The following is a 23,499-nucleotide window of genomic DNA, read 5'->3' on the forward strand; positions in this document are numbered from 1 at the left end:
GGTTGCAGTGAGCAGATATTGCGCCACTGCACTCCAGCCTGGGTGATAGAGTGAGACTCCATCTCAAGAAAAAAAAAGAAAGAATAAAACAACATGACAAGCTGGGTATTCATAAAGCCCTTTGGCTACAAACACACAGAAATGCTGAATAAAATTTAAACGTCCTTTTAAAGTATTTTCAAGAAAGTGAAATAAATCCTTAGAGCCAAAAATGAAGATGAAATGGAAGTTAGAAAGGTAAGTGTGTGGATGCTGTCTTTGGTTGCCAAGAGGCAGTTTGGTGATTTGGTATCCAATGGACTTGAATTTTATCAGCCATGCAGAAGAGGATTTGAGTCCTTGGGCTTGCAAGAGGGGGAAAGTTGGCACAGGTCTCCACAAGAAGCCCAGATGCTTACAGGGCTACACCCTCAGTGAAAGTATGCATTAGAAAAAAGTCAGCCAGCAGCAATGGAAGACAGCAAGGAGGATTGTGGGATTTGTCCTGGGCTTAAAGTGGGTGAGGTAGATTAAAGCTGAGGATAGTTCCCAGAGAAGGCTGACATTTGAAGGCTTTTGGCCTGCCCCTCTAGTGAGGTGGTTGCGGGGAGAAAATCTGAAGAGGAATCCGGACAGTGTGGCACAATGCCCTCTGCACAGAACATGATGTAATTAAGATAGAAGTCAAAATTAAAATACATTTGGAAATTAATGCATTTCTAAAGAATTCCTGGGTTAAGAAGAAAACTTAATTTAAAAAAGGGAAAATACTTAGATATGAAGAAAACTGAAGGACAGTCTTCTATTTCTGGTCATAGAAGAGTTACAGGAACCAGAATTATACCCCTGCTTGAAATAATCTCAAATAAAATAGATGAAATAATAGCTTTTAAGACATTGGGCATCAACAACAAAATATGATGATCTCTGATAGATGGGAAACAAATGAGATGAGCCCTACAAATGTCCTAACTTATTGTCTTGAGAGAGTTACCAGACAGCTACACAGGGATGGGAGACCCAGGTGTAGCTGTGTGATGAAGTTCCTGAGTTGAAGACACAACTGAGAATCTAAGGAGACCAAGGCAGATAGAGTTCACAAGACAGAATTCTGGAGGAGAGGGACCTGCACAGAGAATTCTGGGGATCTTTGAAGGGTCCCCTAGGATACTCCACAGAGTACTGATTGGCGTATGAGGAAAACTTATCTGAGGCCAAAGAAAGAACCATCCCAAAGGATTAGAGGGAATGGTGTCAGGCATAGAAATATGGCCAGGAATAGTGACTGTTCTCACAAGCTGGACTGAAAACACTGCATTGCTTTGTGCATTAGGTAGAGTACTCAGAAGGGACTGTCTCAGTCGGGAAGAACAGTAAGCCACAGAATAAATGTGAAGAAAACTACTCTATAATTAAATTGCTCAAAACATTCAAAAATAAAATGACCAGAGGACAAAGACATTAGGTATGGAGAAGAAGACAGGGATCACAACAGATTTCTCACTGGACACAATGCAACCATGAAGAGAGTGGAGCGGCATGTTTAAAGTACTGAAAGAAAAAAATCTCAGCTACTCCAGCGGCTGAGGTGGGATGATCACTTGAATGCAGGAGCTCAAGGCTGCAGTGAGCCATGATCACACCACTGCACTCCAGCCTGGACAACAGAGTAAGCCAAACTAGAATTCCAGACCAGTGAAAATATAGTTCAAGAACAAAGGCAAAACATATTTGCAGACATTAAAAAGCTAAAATAATGGATCACTCACAGACCTGTACTATAAGAAATGTTAAAGTAAGTCTTTTAGGCAAAAGAAAAATGACACCTGATAGAAATATGAATTTTTCCCAACCTTGGCCTTATTGACATTTTGGACCAGATAATTTTTGTGGCAGGGGCTATCCTAGCATTCTAGGATGTTTAGCAGCATCAATGGCTTTTACCCCGTCATGACAATTAAAAATATCTCTCAATATTGCCCCCAAATGAGAACCACTGCTATATGCCACTGCTGTACAGGAAGTAGTATAATACCACTTGAAGGCAGACGAATAAGCTAAAGACATACACTATAAATCCTAAAGCAATCATTAAAAAACAAATAATTATAGCTGATCAAAAAAGTTATTGGCCAGGCACAGTGTCTCACGCCTGTAATCCCAGCACTTTGGGAGGCTGAGGCAGGCAAATCACTTGAGCTCAGGAGTTCGAGACCAGCCTGGGCAACATGGCAAAACCTCGTCTCTACAAAAAAACACTATATATATCTGGGCGTGGTGACACATGCCTGTAGTCCCAGCTACTCCGGAGGCTGAGGTGGGATGATCACTCGAGCCCGGGAAGTTGAGGCTGCAGTGAGCCATAATCATACCACTGCACTCCAGCCTGGGCAACAGAACAAAATTCTGTCTCAATATAATACAAAGAAGAAAGAAAGAAAAGAAAAAAATGTTATAGTCAGGTATAGTGGCTAACACCTATAATCCCAGCACTTTGGGAGGCCAAGGTAGGAAGATTGCTTGAGGTCAGGAGTTCAAGACTCACCTGGGTAACATAGTGAGACCCTGATTCTACAAAAAAAAAAAAAAGATAATTTAGCTAGACATGGGATGCATGCCTGTAGTCCTAGCTGCTTGGGAGGCTGGCATGAAAGGATCACTGAGCCCAGGAGTTCAAGGCTATAGTGAGCTATAACCACACCACTGCACTCCAACCTGGGTGATAGAGCAAGTCTCCATCTCAAAAAAAATTATGGAATGTTGTTAAAACATTAGCTGAGGGAAATTATAGCACTAAATATCTACATTAGAATATGGTATCATAGACTGTATGTACACACACACACACACGCACACACACACGCGTGCGCACACACACACACAAAAGAGTAGCCGGGTGTGGTGGTGCATGCCTACAGTCCCAGCTACTTGGGAGGCTGAGGTGGGAGAATTACTTTAGCCCAGGAGTTCAAATGCAGCCTGGGCAAAATAGTGAAACCCTATCTCAGTGTTAAAAAAAAATAAAGGAAAAGAGTAAAGTTTAAGAAACTAGAATAAAAAAAGCAAAGTAATGCCAATGTAAACAGAACAAAAGAAATAATAAAGATCAAAATGGGAACCTGTAAAATGGAAAACAAGAAGACAATAGAGAAAATCAAGCCAAAAGTGGTTTTTAGAAAATAAATAAATGCATAAGCTTCTAGTAGGACTGATCAGCAAAAAAAAGGAAAAGAGACACAAAGTATCGACATTGGGATTAAAAGAGGTGACATCACTATGGATTCTACACCAATTAAAGGATAATGGGGGAATGTTATAAACAACTTTATGCCAATAACTTTGATAATTTAGATCAAATGGCCAGTTCCCTGACAGACACAAACTACCAATACTCACTTTAGAAAAAAAATAGATAGCGCTGAATAGTGCTATAACTATAAAAAATAAAACACTTCCCCCACAGACATAGAAATCTAGGCCCAAGATCACATCAAGTTAAAAAGCTTCTGCATAGCAAAGAAAACCAGCAACAAAGTGAAGGAACAACCCACAGATTGGGAGAAAATATTTGCAAATTACCCATCTGACAAGGGATTAATCACCAGAATATATAACAAGCTCAAACAACTCTATAGAAAACAAATCTGATAATTCGATTTTAAAAATAAGCAAAAGATTTGAGTAGACATTTCTCAAAAGAAGAAATACAAATGGCAAAAAGGCATATGAAAAGGTGCCCAACATAATTGATCATCAGAGAAATGCAAATCAAAACTACAATAACATATCATCTCAGTCCAGTTAAAATGGCCTTTTTCCAAAAGACAGGTGATAACAAATGTTGGTGAGGATGTGGAGAAAAGGGAACCCTTATACACTGTTGGTGGGAATGTGAATTAGTACAACCACTATGGAGAACAGTTTAGAGGTTCTGACGAAAACTAAAAATAAAGCTACCATATGATCTAGCAATCCCACTCTTGGGCATATGCCCAAAACAAGGGAAATTGGTACTTTGAAGAGATATCTGTACTACTGTGTTTGTTGCAGCAGTGTTCACAAAGCCAAGATTTGGAAGCAACCTAAGTGTCCATCAGCAGATGAATGGATAAAGAATATGTGGTACTTATACCCAATGGAATATTATTCAGCTATAAAAAAGAATGAGATCCTTTATTTGCAACAACATGGATGGAACCAGAGGTCATTATGTTAAGTGAAATAAGCCAGGCAAAGAAAGACAAACATCTTATGTTCTTATTCGTGGGATCCAAAAATCAAAGCAATTGAACTCATGGGGATAGAGAGTAAAAGAATGGTTACCAGAAGCTGGGGAGGGTAGTGGGGGGTGGGGGTAGTGGGGATGGTTAATGGGTATTTAAAAAATAGAAAGAATGAATAACACCTAGTATTTGATAACAGGGTGACTAAAGTCAATAATAATTTAATTGCTTTTTTTTTTTTTTTTTTTTTGACGGAGTCTCGCTCTGTCGCCCAGGCTGGAGTGCAGTGGCGCCATCTCAGCTCACCGCAAGCTCCACCTCCCGGGTTCATGCCATTCTCCTGCCTCAGCCTCCCGAGTAGCTGGGACTACAGGCGCCCGCCACCATGCCCGGCTAATTTTTTGTATTTTTTTTAGTAGAGACGGGGTTTCACCTGCCAGGATGGTCTCCATCTCCTGACTTCATGATCCGCCCGCCTCGGCCTCCCAAAGTGCTGGGATTACAGGCGTGAGCCACTGCGCCCAGCCTGCATATTTTAAAATGACTAGAAGAATGTAATTGGATTGTTTATAACACAAAGAATAAATACTTGAGGGGATGGATACCCCATTTTCCACAATGTGATTATTACACATTGCATGCTTGTATCAAAATATCTCCTGCACCTCATAAATATACACACTTACTATGTACCCACAAAAATTAAAAATTCAAAAAAATCTAGACCTAGGTGGCTTCACTGGTAAATTTTATCAGACGTTTAAGGAAGAAATAGTACTAACTTTATACAACAAGCTCCTGCAGAAAATTGAGTATGAGGAAATATTTTCCAACTCAGTCTGTGAGGCCAGCATTAACCAGATCCAATACAATAAAAGTGTTACAATAAAAGTACAGACCAATAGCCTTCACAGACTTAAATGCAAAAATCCTAATTCATTTAATTTTAGCAAATTAAAGCCAACAATATGAAATTTTAGTAAATCACTATCCAATAATTGGATAATACATCCAGACCAAAGGAATTTTTTCAAAAAATGCAATGTTGGCTTTGTATTTGAAAATTGATCAGTGTAATTCACCATATTAACAAGCTAAAAATGAAAAATCATGGTCACTATGATGGTATAGAATAAGCTTTTGACAAAATCTAACATCCATCATTGATTTTGAAATTTTAAACCCCTCAGCAAATTAGGGGTAAACGAGATCCTAAATCTGATTTAAAAGTATCTACAAAAATTTTATAGTTGGTATCACACTTAATGTTGAAAGACTGAGCTTTCCTCCTGAGATCAGGAACAAGATAAAGTGCTTTCACCACTTTGTCTACTCAACAGTGTACTGCAGGTTCTAGCCAGGGCAGTTAAAATAAGTAAATAAATAAATAAATGGCATACAGGTTGGAAAGAACAAAGTAAAATTGTCCTTCTTTGTAGACGACACAATTCGCTATGTATAAAATCCAATTAAATCTCTTTTAAAAGCTACTAGAACTAGTAAGTGAGTTGAGGAAGGTTGCAGGACACATAACTTTATAAAAATCAATTTGATTTTTATATACTAACAATGAACAATTTGAAATCAAAATTTAAATAATATCATTTATAATAGCATTAAAATATGAAATACAGTAATTAATATGGCAAAAATGCAAAATATCTGTATATTAAGTACTGTAAAACTTTGGTGAGAGAAATTAAAGAAGACCTAACCAAATGGAAATCTACTTTGTTCACGGATCAGAGTATGCAGTATGGTTAATATGTCAATTGTCCACAAACTGTAGACTCAAATCCATCTCAATCAAAATCCTAGTAGTTGTGTGTGTGTTTTGTAAAAATTAAAAAGTTGTCTCTAAATTCTATATGAAAATGCAAAGAGCTTAGAGTAGCCAAAACAAATCAGAAAAATATTTTAAAATTTGGAGGGCTAACCTGATCTTAAAACGTATGTAGAACTACAGCAGTCAAGACAGTGTAGTTTTGGCATAGTGATAGAAAAATAGATAAATAGAAGAGAATAAAAAATTCAGAAATAGATCCACACATATATGAGCAACTGATTTTCGACAAATGTTCAAAGGCAATCAGTGGATAAATGGTATCTTTCCAACAAATCATATTGGAATAATTGGATATCCCTATGTAAAAATATTAACTTTGATCAATATCTCCCAATATATTAAAAATTAATAATGAATACTATACCTCAGTAGGAAACCTAAAACAATGAAAATTCTAGAATAAATCTGGAGAAATTGTGTCATCTTGCATTAGACAAACATTTCTTACATATAATGCCAAAGGTATGATTCACAAAAGAACAATTTGATAAACGGATGTCATCAAAACTAAAAGATCTGTTTTTTGAAAAGTACTGTTAGGAAAATTACAAAACAAGCCACGATCTGGGAAAAATATGAATACAGCATATATCTGATAAAGGATTTGTATCCAAAAGTGTCAAAATCCAACAATAAGGAAGCAAATAACCTAGTAGAATAATGTGCAAAGATCTGAATGGACACATCACTGACAAAGACATTCAGATGGCAAATAGGCACTGGAAAAGATGTTCAACATCACTGGTTTTTAGGGTAATGCAAATTACAACCACAGGGAGATACCACTACACCCCAATTAGAATGATGAAAATTAATAAGATAGTTCACATCACATGTTGGCAAATATGTGGAGGAACTGGAACTTTCAAACACTGTAGGCAGAAATGTAAAGTAGTGTAACAACTGTGGAAAACACGTTGGCTGTTGTTTAAAAAGTTAAATGTGGATTTGACAATGAATTATTGGCTATGACACCAAAAGCACAGGCAATAAAAGTAAATCCAGGTGCGGTGGCTCACACCTGTAATCCCAGCACTTTGGGAGGCCTAGGAGGTTGGATCACTTGAGGTCAGGAGTTTGAGACCACCTGGCCAATGTGGCAAAACCTCATCTCTACTAAAAACACAAAAATTAGCTGGGCATGGTGGCGTGTGCCTGTACTCACAGCTACTCAGGAGGCTGAGGAAGGACAATCCCTTGAACCTGGGAGGCAGAGGTTGCAGTGAGCTGAGATTGTGCCATTGCCCTCCAACCTGGGCAACAGAGCAAGCCTCCGTCTTGAAAAAAAAAAAAAAGTAAAAATAGATAAACTATACTACATCAAAATTTAAAACTTCTGTGCACTAAAGGACATAATCAGACTGAAAAGACAACCTATGGAATGGGAGAAAAAATTTGCAATTAAACATTTGATGAGTAGTTGATATCCAGAATATATAAATAACTCCTACAATTCAATAACAAAAAACTTAAAAAATGAGGAAAAGACTTAAATAGACATTTCTCCAATGATACGCAAATGGCCAACAAGCATATAAAAAAATGCTCAATATCATTAATCATTAGAGAAGTAAAAATCGAAACCACAATGAGAGGTCATCTCACACCATTATGATAGCAATTATCAAAACCAAAACAACAACAACAACAGAAAAGAAAATAATAAGCATTGATGAGAATGTGCAGAATTGGTACCTTTGTGCACTGTTGGTGCGGATGTAAAATGGCACAGCTGCTACATAAAACAGAATAGCAATTTCTCAAAAAATTAAAAACAGGTTGGGTATGGAGGCTCATGCCTGTAATCTCAGCACTTTGGGAGGCCGAGGCAGTTGGATTGCTTGAGCCCAGGAGTTCAAGACCAGCCTGGGCAACATGGCAAGACCCTGTCTCTATAAAAAATTAAAAAATTAACTGGGCATGGTAGTGCATACCTGTAGTCCCAGCTAGTCAGGAGGCTGAGGCAGATGTATTGATTGAGCCTGGGAGGTCGAGGCTGCAGTGAGCCGGGATCACACCACTACACTTCAGCCTGGGTGACAGGGTGGGACCCTGTCTCAATAAAAAATTAATTAATTAATTAATTAAAAATTAAAATAGAATTACCATACAATCCAGCAACCCCACTTCTAGGTATGTATTCATAAGAATTGAAAACAGGATCTCTAAGAGATATTTGCACATTCATTTTTATAGTAGCATTATTAACAATAGCAAGAGGTGGAAGAAATCCAAATGTCCATCAATAGATGCATGGATAAACAAAATGTCATATATACATGCAATGGAATATTATTGAGCCTTAAAAAAGAAGGCAATTCGGCCAGGCACGGTGGCTCACACCTGTAATCCCAGCACTTTAGGAGGCCAAGGCTGGCAGATCACGAGGTCAAGAGATCGAGACCATCCTGGCGAACATGGTGAAACCCCATCTCTACTAAAAATACAAAAATTAGCTGGGCATGGTGGCACACGCCCAGCTACTCGGGAGGCTGAGGCAGGAGAATCGCTTGAACCCAGGAGGTGGAGGCTGCAGTGAGCCGATATCCTGCTGCTGCACTCCAGCTTGGCAATAGAGCGAGACTCCGTCTCAAAAAAAAAAAAAAAAAAAAAAGAAGGCAATTCTATCATACACTACAACATGGACGAATCTTAAGACATTATGCTAAGTGAAATAAACCAGTCACACGAAACAAAGACTATGATTCCACTTCTAAGACGTATCTAAAGTAGTGAAACTCATAAAAACAGAAAGTAGAATGGTGATTGCCAGGGTCTTGGGGAATGGGGAAATAGTGAGTTGTTTAATGGGTATAGAGTTTCAGTTTCGCAAGATGAAAAAGTTCTGGAGATTGTATAGCATTGTGAATATACTTAATGCCACTTAACTGTAGGCTTAAAAATAATTAATATGGTAAATTTTATGTTTTGCATTTTTTACCACAATTAAAATTTAAAGTCTTTTAAAAAAAACTATTCTTGCAAAGGAACCCCAAATTAATTAGATCAGTCTGTGGAGCAATTTTAGCCTCAGGATATTGTAGAAAACAACAGAACAATCATCTGGCAATTGGTGGTGCTTAATAGCTGGGTTTGATAAGGGAAAGAGACAATGTGAATCTCGATAAATCCACTCTCTTTTTGGGGTGACAATGTGTATGCCCAAGGCTGAGCCCTCTAAGGAGCAATGTTAGAGGCTTCACATTTGGTAGGGTTGGGGATAGACTTCACTAAATTAATCTAGTCAGTCACTAAATAAATAAACAAGCAAATGAAAATACAAAGCCTAGGAAAGAGGGGAGCAGTACCTAGAGTTGCTATAATGTTATCTAAAACATTCTATTTCCAATAAAAAAATGATGAGACATGCAAAGACACAGGAAAAAGTCTGACCCTGTATAGTTAAAATACTGAAGTTAGTATGCCTGCGACTGTTATCCTTAGAAAGGTCTGCTCTCAAGGTTGGTCAGCATCTGGGAACCTGGACATTGAGAGATTTTCCACCATTCCCTGATAAGAATGGATCACTATACCTAAATTGTTTGTGCAAACAATATGGTTTATGCTGAATATCTACTTTTTTCTGGGAGTTTAGAATTTTAGTACATGCCAGGCAGAGTGTGCATGTGTGACCAGCCCACACTAAAAATTCTCAAATTGAATCTCTAGTCCGTTTCCTAGTACACAACATTTTACACTTGTAGCAATTTGTTCCTGGAGGAATTAAGCATGTCTTTTGTAATTCCACTGGGAAAAGAATCTTGGAACTTACACCTGGTACCTTCGGGAATTCACCCTATGAGCCTTTTCTCTGTGCTGATTTTACTTTGAATTCTTTTGATGTAGCAAATCATGGCTATGAGTATGAAGCTATGCTGAATCTTGTGAATCATTGAACCAAAAGGTGATCTCGGTATCATTAGCTAGACTAAACAAAGAAATGAGAGAAGACTAAAATAAAATAAAAAATGAAAAAGGAACCATTACAGCTTTACAGCTGTTACCACGGAAGCACAAAGGATCAATGGAGGCTATTCCAAACAACTATATGCCAACAAATTAGAAACCCTTGAGGAAATGGATAAATTTCCAGATATATACAACCTACCAAGATTGAACCAGGAAGAAGTAGAAAATATGAACAGACCAATCATAAGTAATGAGAGTGAATCAATAACAACAACAACAACAACAACAAAAAGCCCAGAACTGGATAACTTTACTGCTGCATTCTACCAAACTTTTGTTTTTTTTTAGAGTCAGGGTCCTGTTATGTTCCCCATGCTAGACTCAAACTCCTGGACACAAGCCATGCTCCTGCCTCAGCCTCCTGGATAGCTGGGGCTACAGACATGTGTCTTTGCACCTAGCATACCAAACTTAAAAAAAAAAAATTTTTTTAGAGAAAAGATCTTGCTCTCTTGCCCAGTTTGGAGTGAAATGGTGTGATCACTATAATCTCAAACTCCTGGGCTCAAGTGATCCTCTTGCCTCAGCCTCCCAAGTAGCCAGGATTACAGGCATGCACCACCATGCACGGCTAATTTTTTTTTATTGTTGTAGGGACATGGTCTCTCTATATTATACAGGCTGGTCTCAAACTCCTGCCCTGAAGCAATCCTCCCACCTCAGCCTCCCAAAGTGCTGGGATTACAGGCATGAGCCACCATGTCTGGCCTCCAAACTTTAAAAAAACTAACGGCAACTGTTTTCAAACTATTCCAAAATACTGAAGATGAGAGAATTTTTCTAATTCTTTCTACAAGGCCAGCATTACCCAGATACCAGGGTAAAACTGGAAAAGGACACAATAATAAAAGAATACTACAGGCCAGTATCCCTGATGAACATAGGGGCAATAGTCTTCAACAAAATACTAGCAAATAAAATCTAACCAAAAGATAATATACCATGATCAAGTGGGATTTAACCCAGGGATGAAAGGATGTTTCAAAATACGCAAATCAATAAATGTGATACATCACATAAACAGAATGAAGAACAAAAAACATATGATCATCTCAACAGATGCAGATAAAGCATTTGATAAAATTCTATATCCTCTTATGATAAAAACCCTAAACAAACTAGGCATAGAAGGAACATACTTCAGTGCAATAAAGGCCAAATATGACAAACTCATAGCTAACATCAAACTGAATAGGGAAAAGCTGAGAGCTCTAAGAACTGGAACAAGACAAGGATGTTCATGTTCACCTTTCTTATTCAACATAGTACTGGAAGTCCTAGCCAGAGTAATTGGGCAAGAGAAAGAAATAAAGGGCATTCAGGTTGGAAAAGAGGAAGTCAAATTGTCCTTTCAGAAAACATGTATTCAAAATTCTAAAGATTCCACTAAAATATTCTTTGAACTGATAAACAAATTTAGTAAAGTTGCAGGGTACAAAATCAACATAGAAAAAAACTGTAGCATTTCCATACACCAGTAATGAACTGGGTAACAAAGAAATCAAGAAATCAATCCTATTTACAATAGCCCCCCACCAAAAAAAAAAAAACTAGAAATAAAGGAAGTGAAATATCTGTACAATGAAAGCTACCAAACATTGATGAAATAAATTAAAGAGGACACAAACAAATGAAACGACATCCCATGCTCATGATCAGAAGAATATGCCCATACTACCTAAAGCAATTTACAGGTTAAATGCAGTCCCTGTCAAAATATTGGTGACATTCTTCACAGAAATAGAAAACAATCCTAAAATTTGCATGGAACCACAGAAGACACCAAATAGCCAAACCAGTACTTATCAAGGAAAAACAGAGTTGGAGGCGTTACAGTACCTGACTTGAAAATATACTACAAAGCTATAGTATGACATAGACAAACGGAACAGCATAAAGGACCCAGAAATACATCTATGTATTTACAGCCAACTGATTTTCAACAAAGGAACCAGGAACACACATTGGAGAAAGGATGCCCTCTTCAATAAATGATGCTGGGAAAACTGGATATACATATGTAGAAAAATGAAACTAGATCCCTATCTATCCCCATATACAAAAATACACTCAACGTGGATTAAAGCCTTAAATGTAAGACCTGAAACTATAAAACTACCAGAGAAAAACATAGGAGAAATGCTTTAGGACATTGGTCTAGGCAAAGATTTTATGGATAAGACTTCAAAAGCACCGACAACAAAATATAAAAAAATTGGACAGTGTTAAACTAAAAAAACGTCTACATAGCAAAAGAAATAATCAATGGAGTGGAAAGACAATCTGTACAGTGGGAGAAAATATTTGCAAATTCCTAATCTGACAAGGGACTAATATCCAGAATATACCAGGAGCTCAAACAACTCAACAACAAAAACCTAAATCCAATTAAAAGTGGGCAAAGGATCTAAATAGATATTTCTCAAAAGAAGACATGCAAATGGCCAATAAATACATGAAAAAATGGTCAACATCATGAATCATCAGGGAAATGCAAATCAATACCACAATGAGATATAATCTCACCCCAGTTAGAATGGCTATTATCAAAAAGACAAAAAATAAGAAATGCTGGAGAGCATTCCAAGGTAATTATTTGTTTCTTTTTTTTTTTTTTTTGAGATGGAGTCTCGCTCTGTGACCCAGGCTGGAGTGTAGTGGCGCGATCTCGGCTCACTGCAAGCTCCACCTCCCAGGTTCATGCCATTCTCCTGCCTCAGCCTCCCAACTAGCTGGGACTACAGGCACCCACCCACGCCCAGCTAATTTTTTTTTTTTTGTATTTTTAGTAGATACGGGGTTTCACCATGTTAGCCAGGATGGTCTTGATCTCCTGACCTCGTGATCCACCTGCCTCGGCCTCCCAAAGTGCTGGGATTACAGGTGTGAGCCACCGTGCCCGGCCTTTTTTTTTTTTTTTTTGAGATGGAGTTTCACTCTTGTCGCCCAGGCTGGAGTGCAATGGCACAATCTCAGCTCACTGCAATCTCTGCCTCCTGGGTTCAAGTCATTCTCCTCCCTCAGCCTCCTGAGTAGCTGGGATGACAGGCACCTGCCACCAGGCCTGGCTAATTTTTTGTATTTTTAGTAGAGACAGGGTTTCACCAGGTGTTGGCCAGGCTGGTCTCAAACTCCTGACCTCAGGTGATCCACCTGCCTTGGCCTCCCAAAGTGCTGGGATCACAGGTGTGAGCCACTGCACCCAGCTCAAAAGGAATTTTTATATGCTTTTGGTGGAAATGTAAATTAGTACAGCCATTATGGAAAACAGTGTGAAGGTTTCTCAAAAAATTAAAAATAGGGCTACTATATGATACAGTAATGCCTTTACTGAATATTTAGCCAAAGGAAGGAAATCTAAATATCGAAGAGATACTTTTTCCCCATGCTTATTACAGAACTATAATATTCACAATTGCTAAGAGATAAAATCAACCCAGTGTCCATCAACAGACAAATGGATAAAGAAAATGTGGCATATATGCACAATGAAATACTATGCAGTCATAAAAAGAATAAAATTCTATCATTTGTGGCAACATAGATGAGCCTGGAGGACATTATGTTGAGCAAAATAAGCACAGAAAGATAAATAACTACATGTTCTCTCTTATATGTGGGAGGTAAAAATAATTTAGAGCTCATGCAAGTAGAAAATAGAATTGTGGGTATTAGAGCCTATGGAGGGTAGTGGAGGGGAGAGATGGGGAAACATTGCTTAATAGACACAAAATTATTGCTAGATAGGAGGAAGGAGTTCTGGTGTTCTGCAGCACTGTAGGGTGAATATAATTAACTAGAAATTATTGTATATTTTTAAAAACATAGAGGAGAGGATTTTGCATGTTCACAACACAAAGAAATGATAAATGTTTCAGGTAATGGATATGCTAATTACCGTGATTTGGTCATTACACATTGTATATACATATCAAAATATCACCCTGTGTCCCATAAATATGTACAATTATTATGTGCCAACTAAAAAGAAAAAGAAAAAATTTGTTCTCGCCCTTTCCACTGAAAATACCTAGAAACAAAGATCTACCAGGAGCAGTGAGCACCCTTCACACCAAAATTGCAGTCCTGAAACACCATTTCCCTCTAAAGGGAACTAGGGCCCTTTAAAAAAGTGGTTGATTCTATGATTGGGGCAGAAAATGCACAATCCTAGCATTTTGGGAAGCCAAGGTGGGAGGATCACTTGAGCTCAGGAGTTTGAGACCAGCATGGGCAACATAGTGAGACCTCATCTCTACTAAAAATTTTAAAAAGTTAGCTGGGCATAGTGGTGCATGCCTATAGTCCCAGCTACTTGAGAGGCTGAGGCAGCAGGATCACTTGAGCCCAGGAATTCAAGGCTTCAGTGAGCCATGATCATGTCACCGCACTCCAGTCTGGGGGCAGAGTGAGGCCCTGTCAAAAAAAAAAAAAAGGAATGGGTTCATAATAATAAGATAAAGAGAACAAAAAAAGTAAAATGGCAGACGTAAATCCAACTATATCTTCTTCCAGATGAAATGTGGTCTAAAAAGAAACCCCGTATCAATAATAAAATGTGAATGGATTAATCAATCCAATGAAAAAGCAGATATTGTCAGACTGGATAAAAAAATAAGATCCAATTATATGCTGTTTACAGGAGACACAGTTTAGTTTCAAAGATACAAAGAGATTAAAAGTAAAAGGATGGAAAAAGATGTATTTTGCAAATAGCAACCATAAGAAAGCTCGAGTGGTTATATACAAGACAAATTAGACTTTAAAACCAAAACAAGATACTATTTCAGATAAAAAAGGGCATTTTATAACAATACAGGTGTCAATTCATCAGGAAGATATAACAATGACAAATGTATATTCAGCTACTGAAATACCCCCAAAATACATTAAACAAACACTGAAAGAGATGCAGCAGGGAAATAGACAATTCAAACAATAATAGTTGGAGGCTTCAATAGCCCATTTTCAATAATAGTTTAACACCAGAAAGAAGATCAATAAGGAAATAGAGGACTTGAACCCTATTAACCAACTAGGCCTAATATAGCCCTAGAACATGCCACTGAAGAATAGCAGAATATACCTTCCTCTCCAGCACACAAGGAACATTCTTCAGGACAAATCATATACAAGGTAAAAAAACAAACCTTAATACATCAGAAGGATTTAAATAATACAAAGTATGTTCTCTGACCTAATGTAACTTAACTGCATCCTCCACTCCCTAGAATAGTTATAGGAATGAAAAGTATTCTGTCTCCAACAAGGTAAAATGGAAAATGTCTGACATACAGTTATTACTAGGCATGTAAACAAATAGGAAAATACAACCTGTATTGATGAGAAAAATCAGTTATTCAAAACTGACCTAGAACTGACACAAAGAATCAACAAACAAGGATATTAATGATATTATGACTATATAAGCAAAAATCAAGGGGAAGGATTGAATTTGTTTAGCAGACACAAAAGATATTAAAAAAATTAAAATTCGATTTCTAGAGATAAAAATGTCTGACATAAAAATGGAAAATTCTACCTGAATGTCTTATAATACTCATTCATTCACAGGGTTTCACTCCAGTATAGGTTTTCTGATGGCCATTGAGGTATGCACTCTGAAAGCTTTGCCACATTCATCACATTGGTAGGATTTCTGTTCCATCCTAATGTATAGCCAGACTGGAGGACATAGGAGGATTCCCCAAATCCCTTCCTCACATTTATCTTTTGTAGGTTTGAAACAATCTTTGTGTGTTATTCAATAAACTACTTCTAGTCAGCTCCTTTCTTCATTCAAGGGTAATTCTTCTAACTTCTTGAAAGTGTCTTCACAGGTATCTCTAGTCTCTGGTTTCCCAGTGAATCAACACATAGAACCCTCTTACTAGCTGGGGGCATGATGGTATTCATCTGTAGTCCCAGCTGCTTGGGAGGCTGAGGCAGGAGGATCGCTGGAGCCCAGGAGTTCAAGGCTGCACTGAGCTATGATTGTGCCACTATGACAGAGTGAGACCTCATATCTCTTAAAAGAAAGAAAGAATCCTCTTGATGTTCCATCAGATAAATCCTTTAAAAATTTCTTGCTTCATAATCAAGTCTATTCTGTTCTCATCTGCTGTCAAAAGTAAGCAGAAAACAGTTTTACTCATTTTTTTTTGTCTTGTGGAAACAGTATCATCAAGAGACCTTAAAAAAAAAATGTCAGATTATGGGTGTAGAAGGAGATGACATATTTAGAACAAGAGTGAAGTGTTAGTAGCTCAATTTTTTCTCCATGGGCAGGAAAAAAAGAGGGAGAGAAGTTTATCGGTGGAAGGTAAAAGAAGATATCAGGGACAAACAGATACTGAGCCATCACAACGAAGTTAGAAGGCCAACTGGAGGGCAAGTGACAAGTTTACAAAGGATGATGTGGTCTTACAGAGGTAAGATCTTTAGTAAAATGATGAACTGTAGATTCATTTCCAACCATAACATTGTATGGTTCCATAGTTCTCTGAAAAGATGTTGCAGAGAGAGGGATAGCAAACATCTCAAGTCAAATACAGAAGGCAGAGTAATTATGGTCATGATTACTAAACATGAATATGTTGGTTCCTTTTAATTATCCTGCAGAGTGTGGCCTGAGGTCAAAGCTCTGCCCAAACAAAGACAATATTTAATGACTCTACCAATTGGAATCCCTTTCTAAGGAAATTCTGAATTGGAAGTAGGGCAGAAATGAGGAAATTAAGAACAGGAGCTGAAGCAGAAATTGTGGATGGAGAGAAGCCACATCATTAGGAGCCGCAGCAAGCAGTAAGCATGAAGGGACAGAAATTGTAATAAGAAGGACTAATGAAAGGGACAGAAGATTCAGAGTGAAGAAGCTGGATAGTGGTGGGAAGTAAAGAAATAGAAAATAAATGCTGGGAGCAGCTGGGTTGTATTTACAGTGGAACACCGGCACAAAGATTCATTTACTTTTGCTGCTTTGGCTCCTGGACTACCCTGCATCAAGGCATAGTCTCCGGGAGGCCCAGTTTTCCACCATCTGGTCTAGCCTGTAGAGCTTGCATCTCTTCCCACAGTGGTGAGAACTTTGAACTCACGATTCCCCTCTGGCTAAGATCCTCCATTTTCCTCATTAGTGTATAATTCAGGAAGACAAGATGTACTAAATAGCTCATTGTCTGTGTATCTGTGTAAAGGCCTATCTACTTAGAAAGAAGGTAAAGGACTGGCTTCTGGAGCCTCCTCTGGAAAAAGAAAATTAGTCTTCAACCAGACTAATAAATGGGTGTTCACAAAATTGGGCATTGTCAAATCCCCCAACCTTGTTTGAATTTAAAAGATTGATTATAAGTTTAGGTTTTTCCAACAGCAGAGCCTGAGACAAGGATATAGGTGGAGTAGATTATTTTGAAGGTGATCTTAAGGAGCAAGAGGCAGTGAGCAGGAAGGATAAGACAGGGAAGGTCGAAAGCCAACAAAGAATGAGTAATTGAGCTGGATCCACTGTGGGCAACTGAGGCTCATTTTCACTAGGGGCCCTCTAAGGGCCCATGTAGAACATAGCTCAGACTTTTCTTGTCAAAGGACAGGACGTTGGGGCATTTGTGTACCAATTCTTATTTATCATTCTTTCAGGTTTGCCTGAGGGGATGTTACTCTTATCCACTTCTTCCAGTTTGTGCCTAAGACCTGGCTGAACAGGCTTCTGAACTTCCAGAGGAAGCCTTCAACAAAACAGCCTAAGATGTTATGGTGTATGCTTGAGACAGGACTCTGTCAGGATGGCTACATCCATTCTCCCACAGCTGCATGAAAATCATAGGTGGGCAGAGGTGACTGTGGTAGAGAATACAAAGAACATCTGTTTTAGGTAATAAGCAGATGCTTCTTTTACTATGCTTTTAGCATCAAAGAATTTTAGTGTTTTAAAATATTCCCTTTACCTGTGTGGTAACTACTTCCATTGTTTTCCAGTACCCAAAAGTAAAGTATCTGCAGAATATCTTGGACTGGGAAGGGCCTCAGTTACATTTGTTCTACTCCCCAGACACCCAGACACCTCTAAGGCTAGGAGATACTAGACTGACTTTAGAATTACCACTTTTGGGCCTCTCTAGAGCAGAATGTATTCAAGAGTTATGACCTTCTATATAAAAGTCCATGTGGGTATAAGCCAAGATAGCAGGCCTCCCTGCCTCCCACCCCTAACGATTATCAAAGCCTTAGATGCATTCCCAGTGAACACAACATATTAATGCTTCTCTGCATTCAAATTAGCATGAGTTGTCCAAGGCCCGACCACAGCTAAAGTATTCAGGAGGCTGAAGACACTCTTCATGCTGGCTGTCCTGACTTTTCTCCCCCTTTTCCCTACCTGTGTCTTGCCTCAGTCTCCTGAATGATTTTCTTGCTTCTGGGTGTACAAAAGCCTAAATATAGTGGTGGAAACAGCATTTGCCTTGGATTTCAAAGCCTCACTGGTTATTAGGAAGGTATTTTAACAAATTACTTAAACTTACTCACCCTTAGTTTCAGTATCATCAAAACTGTCACAATATTATCTGTCTCAAAGGGTTCATGTAAGGAGTAAATGAAATTAACCATGTGAAAGGGGCTGACACATAGCAAGTAATTTTTATATGCTTTATTTTTTTTCTAATATTCTAGCTTTGCCTCACTCTTCTGGTTTGAACTCTATCTTAATTCAACTGAAATGTTCTGTGATTGCCAATTATATACTGTTGAAAATTGAGTCTGTGTGTGTGTGCATGTATGTGTGTGTGTGTGTGTGTGTGTGTGTGTGTGTGTGTGTGTGTGTGTGTGTGTTGGGGGTGGGATGCAGAAAGTGCAGCTGGGTAGATTTTGGCACTAGTAAAGACCTCTATCAGGGGTCAATGATCTTTTGATTCGTTGTAGCATCATCAGCCTAGTAATAGAGGGCTGGCCTAGAAACCAATTCGGAACAACCTGAGATTTTCATTTTCATCTAGCCCTTGAGAAAGGCTACAGAAAGACCAAAGCAGATCCCCCAGTATCCCACTTCCTTTCCTTTCCTGCTAGGGCCATAACAGCCCCTTTAGCCTTTCAGATTCTAAAGCTCCTGTCAAAGCCATAGGCACTCCAAGCTCAGGTCCTCTGATTTTGTGATCCCTCTACTCCTACCAATGACTATGTGCCTTTTACAGCCTCTCCAGGTAGGACTCCGATGAGGGTAAAAGGATAGGCAATGGGATTTCTACCTCCCTCCAAATTGCAAAGAATATGGCTGTTCTGTCTTCCCTCAAGCTTTCCAGTCTGGACTGGATTTACCCCTCTCTGCTCCCAGCATGATTGGCCTTTCACAGGTGGCCTGTCCCCTTCTCCAACTTTCCGTTTGCTGTTACTCCCTCATTTCTACAAGATCCCTCTCTGAGGATGTAAAGATAAGGGGGTGAAGTTGTCCAAGACAGACATTCAGATCTGAAATGGATCCTTTTAAGTGACACTAGCCTAATCTAACCACTGTGGATGCCCTTCAGTGCCTAGAAAATCTTTAAATAACTAATGCCCTGAACTGTATTTGGAAGAATCCATATGTGATAGTTCATTTTACATGTTAACTTGAATGGGCCATAGTGTGCCCAGACATTTGGCTAAACATTATTCTGAGTGTCTGTGGGGGTATCTCTGGATGAGATTAACATCTGAATCTGTAGACTGATTGCCCTCCTTAACATGAGTGAGCCTCATCCAAGCCATTGGAGATGTGAGTAGAAGGAAAAGACTGAGAGAGAATTTGCTCTTTCTGCCTGTCTTCTGGCTGGGACATTGGTCTTCTCCCACCTTTGGTGATATGGTTTAGATTTCTGTCCCCGCCCAAATCTCATGTCAAACTGTAATTCCCAATGTTGGAGGTGGGGCCTGATGGGAGGTGATTGGATCATAGGGATGGCTTTACCCCTTGGCTCTGTGTTGAGATAGTGAGTGAGACCTGGTTGTTTAAAAGTGTGTAGCACCTCCCTCCTCCCCCGACCCTTGGTCCTTCTGCTGCCACATAAGACATCTGCTCCCACTTTGCCTTCCCCCATGAGTTCCCTGAGGCCTCCCCAGAGGCAGATGGTACCATGATTCCTGTACAGCCTGCAGAACTGTGAGCCAATTAAACCTCTTTTCTTTATAAAGTTCCCAATCTCAGGCATTTCTTTATAGCAGTGCGAGAACAGACTAACACATTTGGATTCCGACTAGGACTCAGACTGGAAGTTACACCAGCAGCTTTTCTGCTTCTTAGGCCTATAGATCTTGGACTACAACTATACCTTCAGCTCTCCTGGGTCTTCAGATTGCATGTCTTGAGATTTCTTAGCCATATATATTATATACATATAATCCTTGGTCATAGGTCAATCACATTCCAATTTGCATTAAAAACAACTCTGGCAAAGTGGGGTTTTATAGAAAGATGAGAAATACAAACTTTCCATTCAGACCGGGATTTCCATTTTAGTTGATCAGTAGTCTAAGATCTTAACCCATCTTGAAATGTCAGTCCTGTGCTTCCAGCCTCTTCTCATATGCCTATCTCAAACTCATTTATTTCTTGTTTGCTTAGTTTTTTTCACCAGTACATTTGGGGATTTTAAATACCAGGAATGTGTGTGTATGTAAAACAAAGGCTATGTGTTGTATTATACCACTGTCCCAGAGCTCTGGCCCACTTTAAACAGGTTTTGTATAGTTCCACCTTGGTCAAAGATAGGGTGTTCCTTTCCTATCACCATCATTCCACAAGGTTACCAAGTCTTTCATCTTGGGACAGTGGTGAGGGTGCTTCAAGTTCTTTGTCAGATGGGCAGAATCTCAGGGCACAAACTGAGTGACAAAACTGAGGCTCTGGGCTGGCCACTGGCAACTGGTGGTTCTTACCAGCTGACAACTCTTTGGTTACATGCTTCCGGGCCATTGCTTAGTAGGAGTGTGAATGATTACAGGCTCACTGGTCAGTGGTCCATAGTCTAGTTGGTCATTTTGGCTCCTCCCATTCCTTTCTTCTTTCCCAGCAAGGCAAGAATGTTTTTCACCTTACTAAAGGCTTCTAATGGCCTAACTCACTATCGTTTTTGTCACTTTTGTTTCCAGTCCCATAGTGTGTAACTCCTGTCTACCTAGGTAGGGCAGGGGAGGAGAAGGGAGCCTTGGTTTACAAGTAAAATTATAATTTAGTGTGGGGGGAACAGCAATCACATTGATCAATATTTCAAAATCTACTCATTCATACTTTGAGACCCATAAAGTACTATTTCCTTCTTCTCTTCCTACTTGATTGGCTGCTGCTTCTCAGTCTCCTTTGTTGGGTCCTCCTTACCCTTTTTTATGTCATCCAAAGGACCACCAGGATGGCTAGATAGTAGAAAAGAAAGTTGGCCGGCACAGTGGCTCACACCTGTAATCCTAGCACTTTGGAAGGCCGAGGCGGGTGGATTGCCTGAGCTCAGGAGTTTGAGACCAGCCTGGGCAACACGGTGAAACCCCATCTCTACTAAAATACAAAAAATTAGCCAGGCATGGTGGCGTGCGCTTGTAATCCCAGCTACTCAGGAATCTGAGACAGGAGAATCATTTGAACCCGGGAGGCGGAGGTTGCAGTGAGCGAGATCGCGCCACTGCACTCCAGCCTGGGCGACAGAGTGAGACTCCATCTCAAAAAAAAAAAAAAAAAAAAGAAAGAAAGAAAGAAAAGAAAGTTTTATTCACAACATCAGTTTACAAACTCGGAGAGATAGTCTCTGGCTTGAACTGAAAGTGGTGCTCTCTCTGAAGAACAAAGAGAAGGTTAGAGGTTTTACAAAAAGGAGGAATGTTACATATTGCTCTTTGAGAAAGTTCATTGGCAGTAGTAAGGGTGTGGGGAGCTGACAAGCTCCAGTTGGTGAGCAACTGCGGTGGGCAAAATTAGTCCTAGAGTTGCAGCAACTTATCTCAGAAGCTATAGATAAAACTGGTTTTGGCTTATAATAAGCAGTTTCAGCAGTCAAGCTTACAGAGAATAACATTCCTGGAGCAATGTTGTGTACCCTGAGTGCTTCCCCCAGCTAATTTCTCGACTTTCTTTTATTAGGTATGACAAAAATGACCCAATTCTTATGATCAGCTTTCACATTTCTTAGCATTTACCACCACCTGACACATTTTTATATTTGTTTTCTGTTTATCCCACTAGAAATGTAAGCCCCATGAGAACAGAGACTTTACCTCTTTATCTATGTCCCTAGTGCCCAGAACAGTATTTGGCATATGGCAAGTACTCAGTAGTTGAATGAATGAATGAATCAAGGCTGAAGTTTAAGTATGTTGTTTAATGAATGCCAGGAGAGAACATAAAGAAATAAACAGAATAAGCCTGGCACGGTGGCTCACGCCTGTGATTCCAACACTTTAGAAGGCCAAGGTGGGGGTGGATCACCTGAGGTCAGGAGTTCAAGACCAGCCTGGCCAACATTGTGAAACCCCGTCTCTACTAAAAAAAAAAAAAAAAAAAAAAAATAGCCAGGCATGGTGGCACGTGCCTGTAATCCCAGCTGCTCAGGAGGCTGAGGCAGAAGAATCGCTTGAACCCGGGAGGTGGAGATTGCAGTGAGCCAAGATTGCGCCACTGCACTCCAGCCTGGGCAACAAGAGCAAAACTCCATCTCAAAAAAAAAAAAAAGACATAAACAGAATAACATGAACCTTGCTCATTGAATAAACATTCATCTACAACCTATATGGCTTCAGCTTTGTACTAGGTGCTAAATACATGGGATCCATGCAGACATGGCCTTTGCCCTTTTGGAGACTTGTTTCAGCCATAGTCCCATATAGGGGTGTCAGTTCCAGAAGTCCAAACTTAAGAGACTGAAGACCAAAGAGAGGATCAGAGTGCCAGTTTCCTTTATATACACCTGACTTTACCCAGGGCGATGGACAGCTAGAATAACCTCTTCTTTCAGGGGAGAGATGTCCCTACCATTTGCACATTACCTTGCACCATCAACTTGATTATTATTTAATATCATAGCTCCAATATGTCATCATGTGGGCAAGAGATACACCACAGTAAGCGAATTCACAAGAGGGTGATTTATAAGTCATGTTATTATTTATAGTGAGAATTGCATAAGTTCAAGAAGAGACCAGAAAAGTCACCTACCAGGTCATTCAGACGTGAAGGTCACTCCCTATCAACCTCAATTGAAATGCAAATCAAAATAGAAATGTCCAACTCTCTTAGGAGGCAACAGGCATCCTGAGACCCTGGGTCCTGTCTTTCATCTCTGCACCCTTCCGGTCTGAAACAGCGGCCAGTTCTTGTTCGATGTAAGGAACACTAGTACCCAAGGGCTCAGGAGTTCCGCCTCTCTTCCCCAGTTCTGGGAAAAGAAACGAACCATAGAGATGTGGCTTCCTAGAGATCCGGGATGAGGGGCGGGGTGCAACCGGAAGTCGCAGTATTCTCGGCTCGGC

General features: G+C 39.4%; 1 protein-coding gene and 2 long non-coding RNA genes across 8 annotated transcripts in view; 1 reads left to right on the top strand and 2 right to left on the bottom strand.

The window, feature by feature from the left end:
• ZKSCAN7-AS1 (ZKSCAN7 ZNF cluster antisense RNA 1) overlaps positions 1-23,499 on the bottom strand; it is a 128,297-nt gene that overhangs the window by 44,180 nt on the left and 60,618 nt on the right. The window lies entirely within an intron of this gene.
• ZNF660-ZNF197 (ZNF660-ZNF197 readthrough) overlaps positions 1-23,499 on the top strand; it is a 63,508-nt gene that overhangs the window by 16,573 nt on the left and 23,436 nt on the right. The window lies entirely within an intron of this gene.
• Positions 15,592-23,261, bottom strand: ZNF197-AS1 (ZNF197 antisense RNA 1). The gene is made up of 2 exons (NR_046658.1): positions 23,186-23,261; positions 15,592-16,138 (listed from the first exon to the last, which is right to left on the bottom strand). It is a non-coding gene; the product is annotated as a ZNF197 antisense RNA 1 (long non-coding RNA).

Source organism: Homo sapiens, chromosome 3 (assembly GCF_000001405.40).
Source record: "Homo sapiens chromosome 3, GRCh38.p14 Primary Assembly".
Classification (NCBI taxonomy): domain Eukaryota; kingdom Metazoa; phylum Chordata; class Mammalia; order Primates; family Hominidae; genus Homo; species Homo sapiens.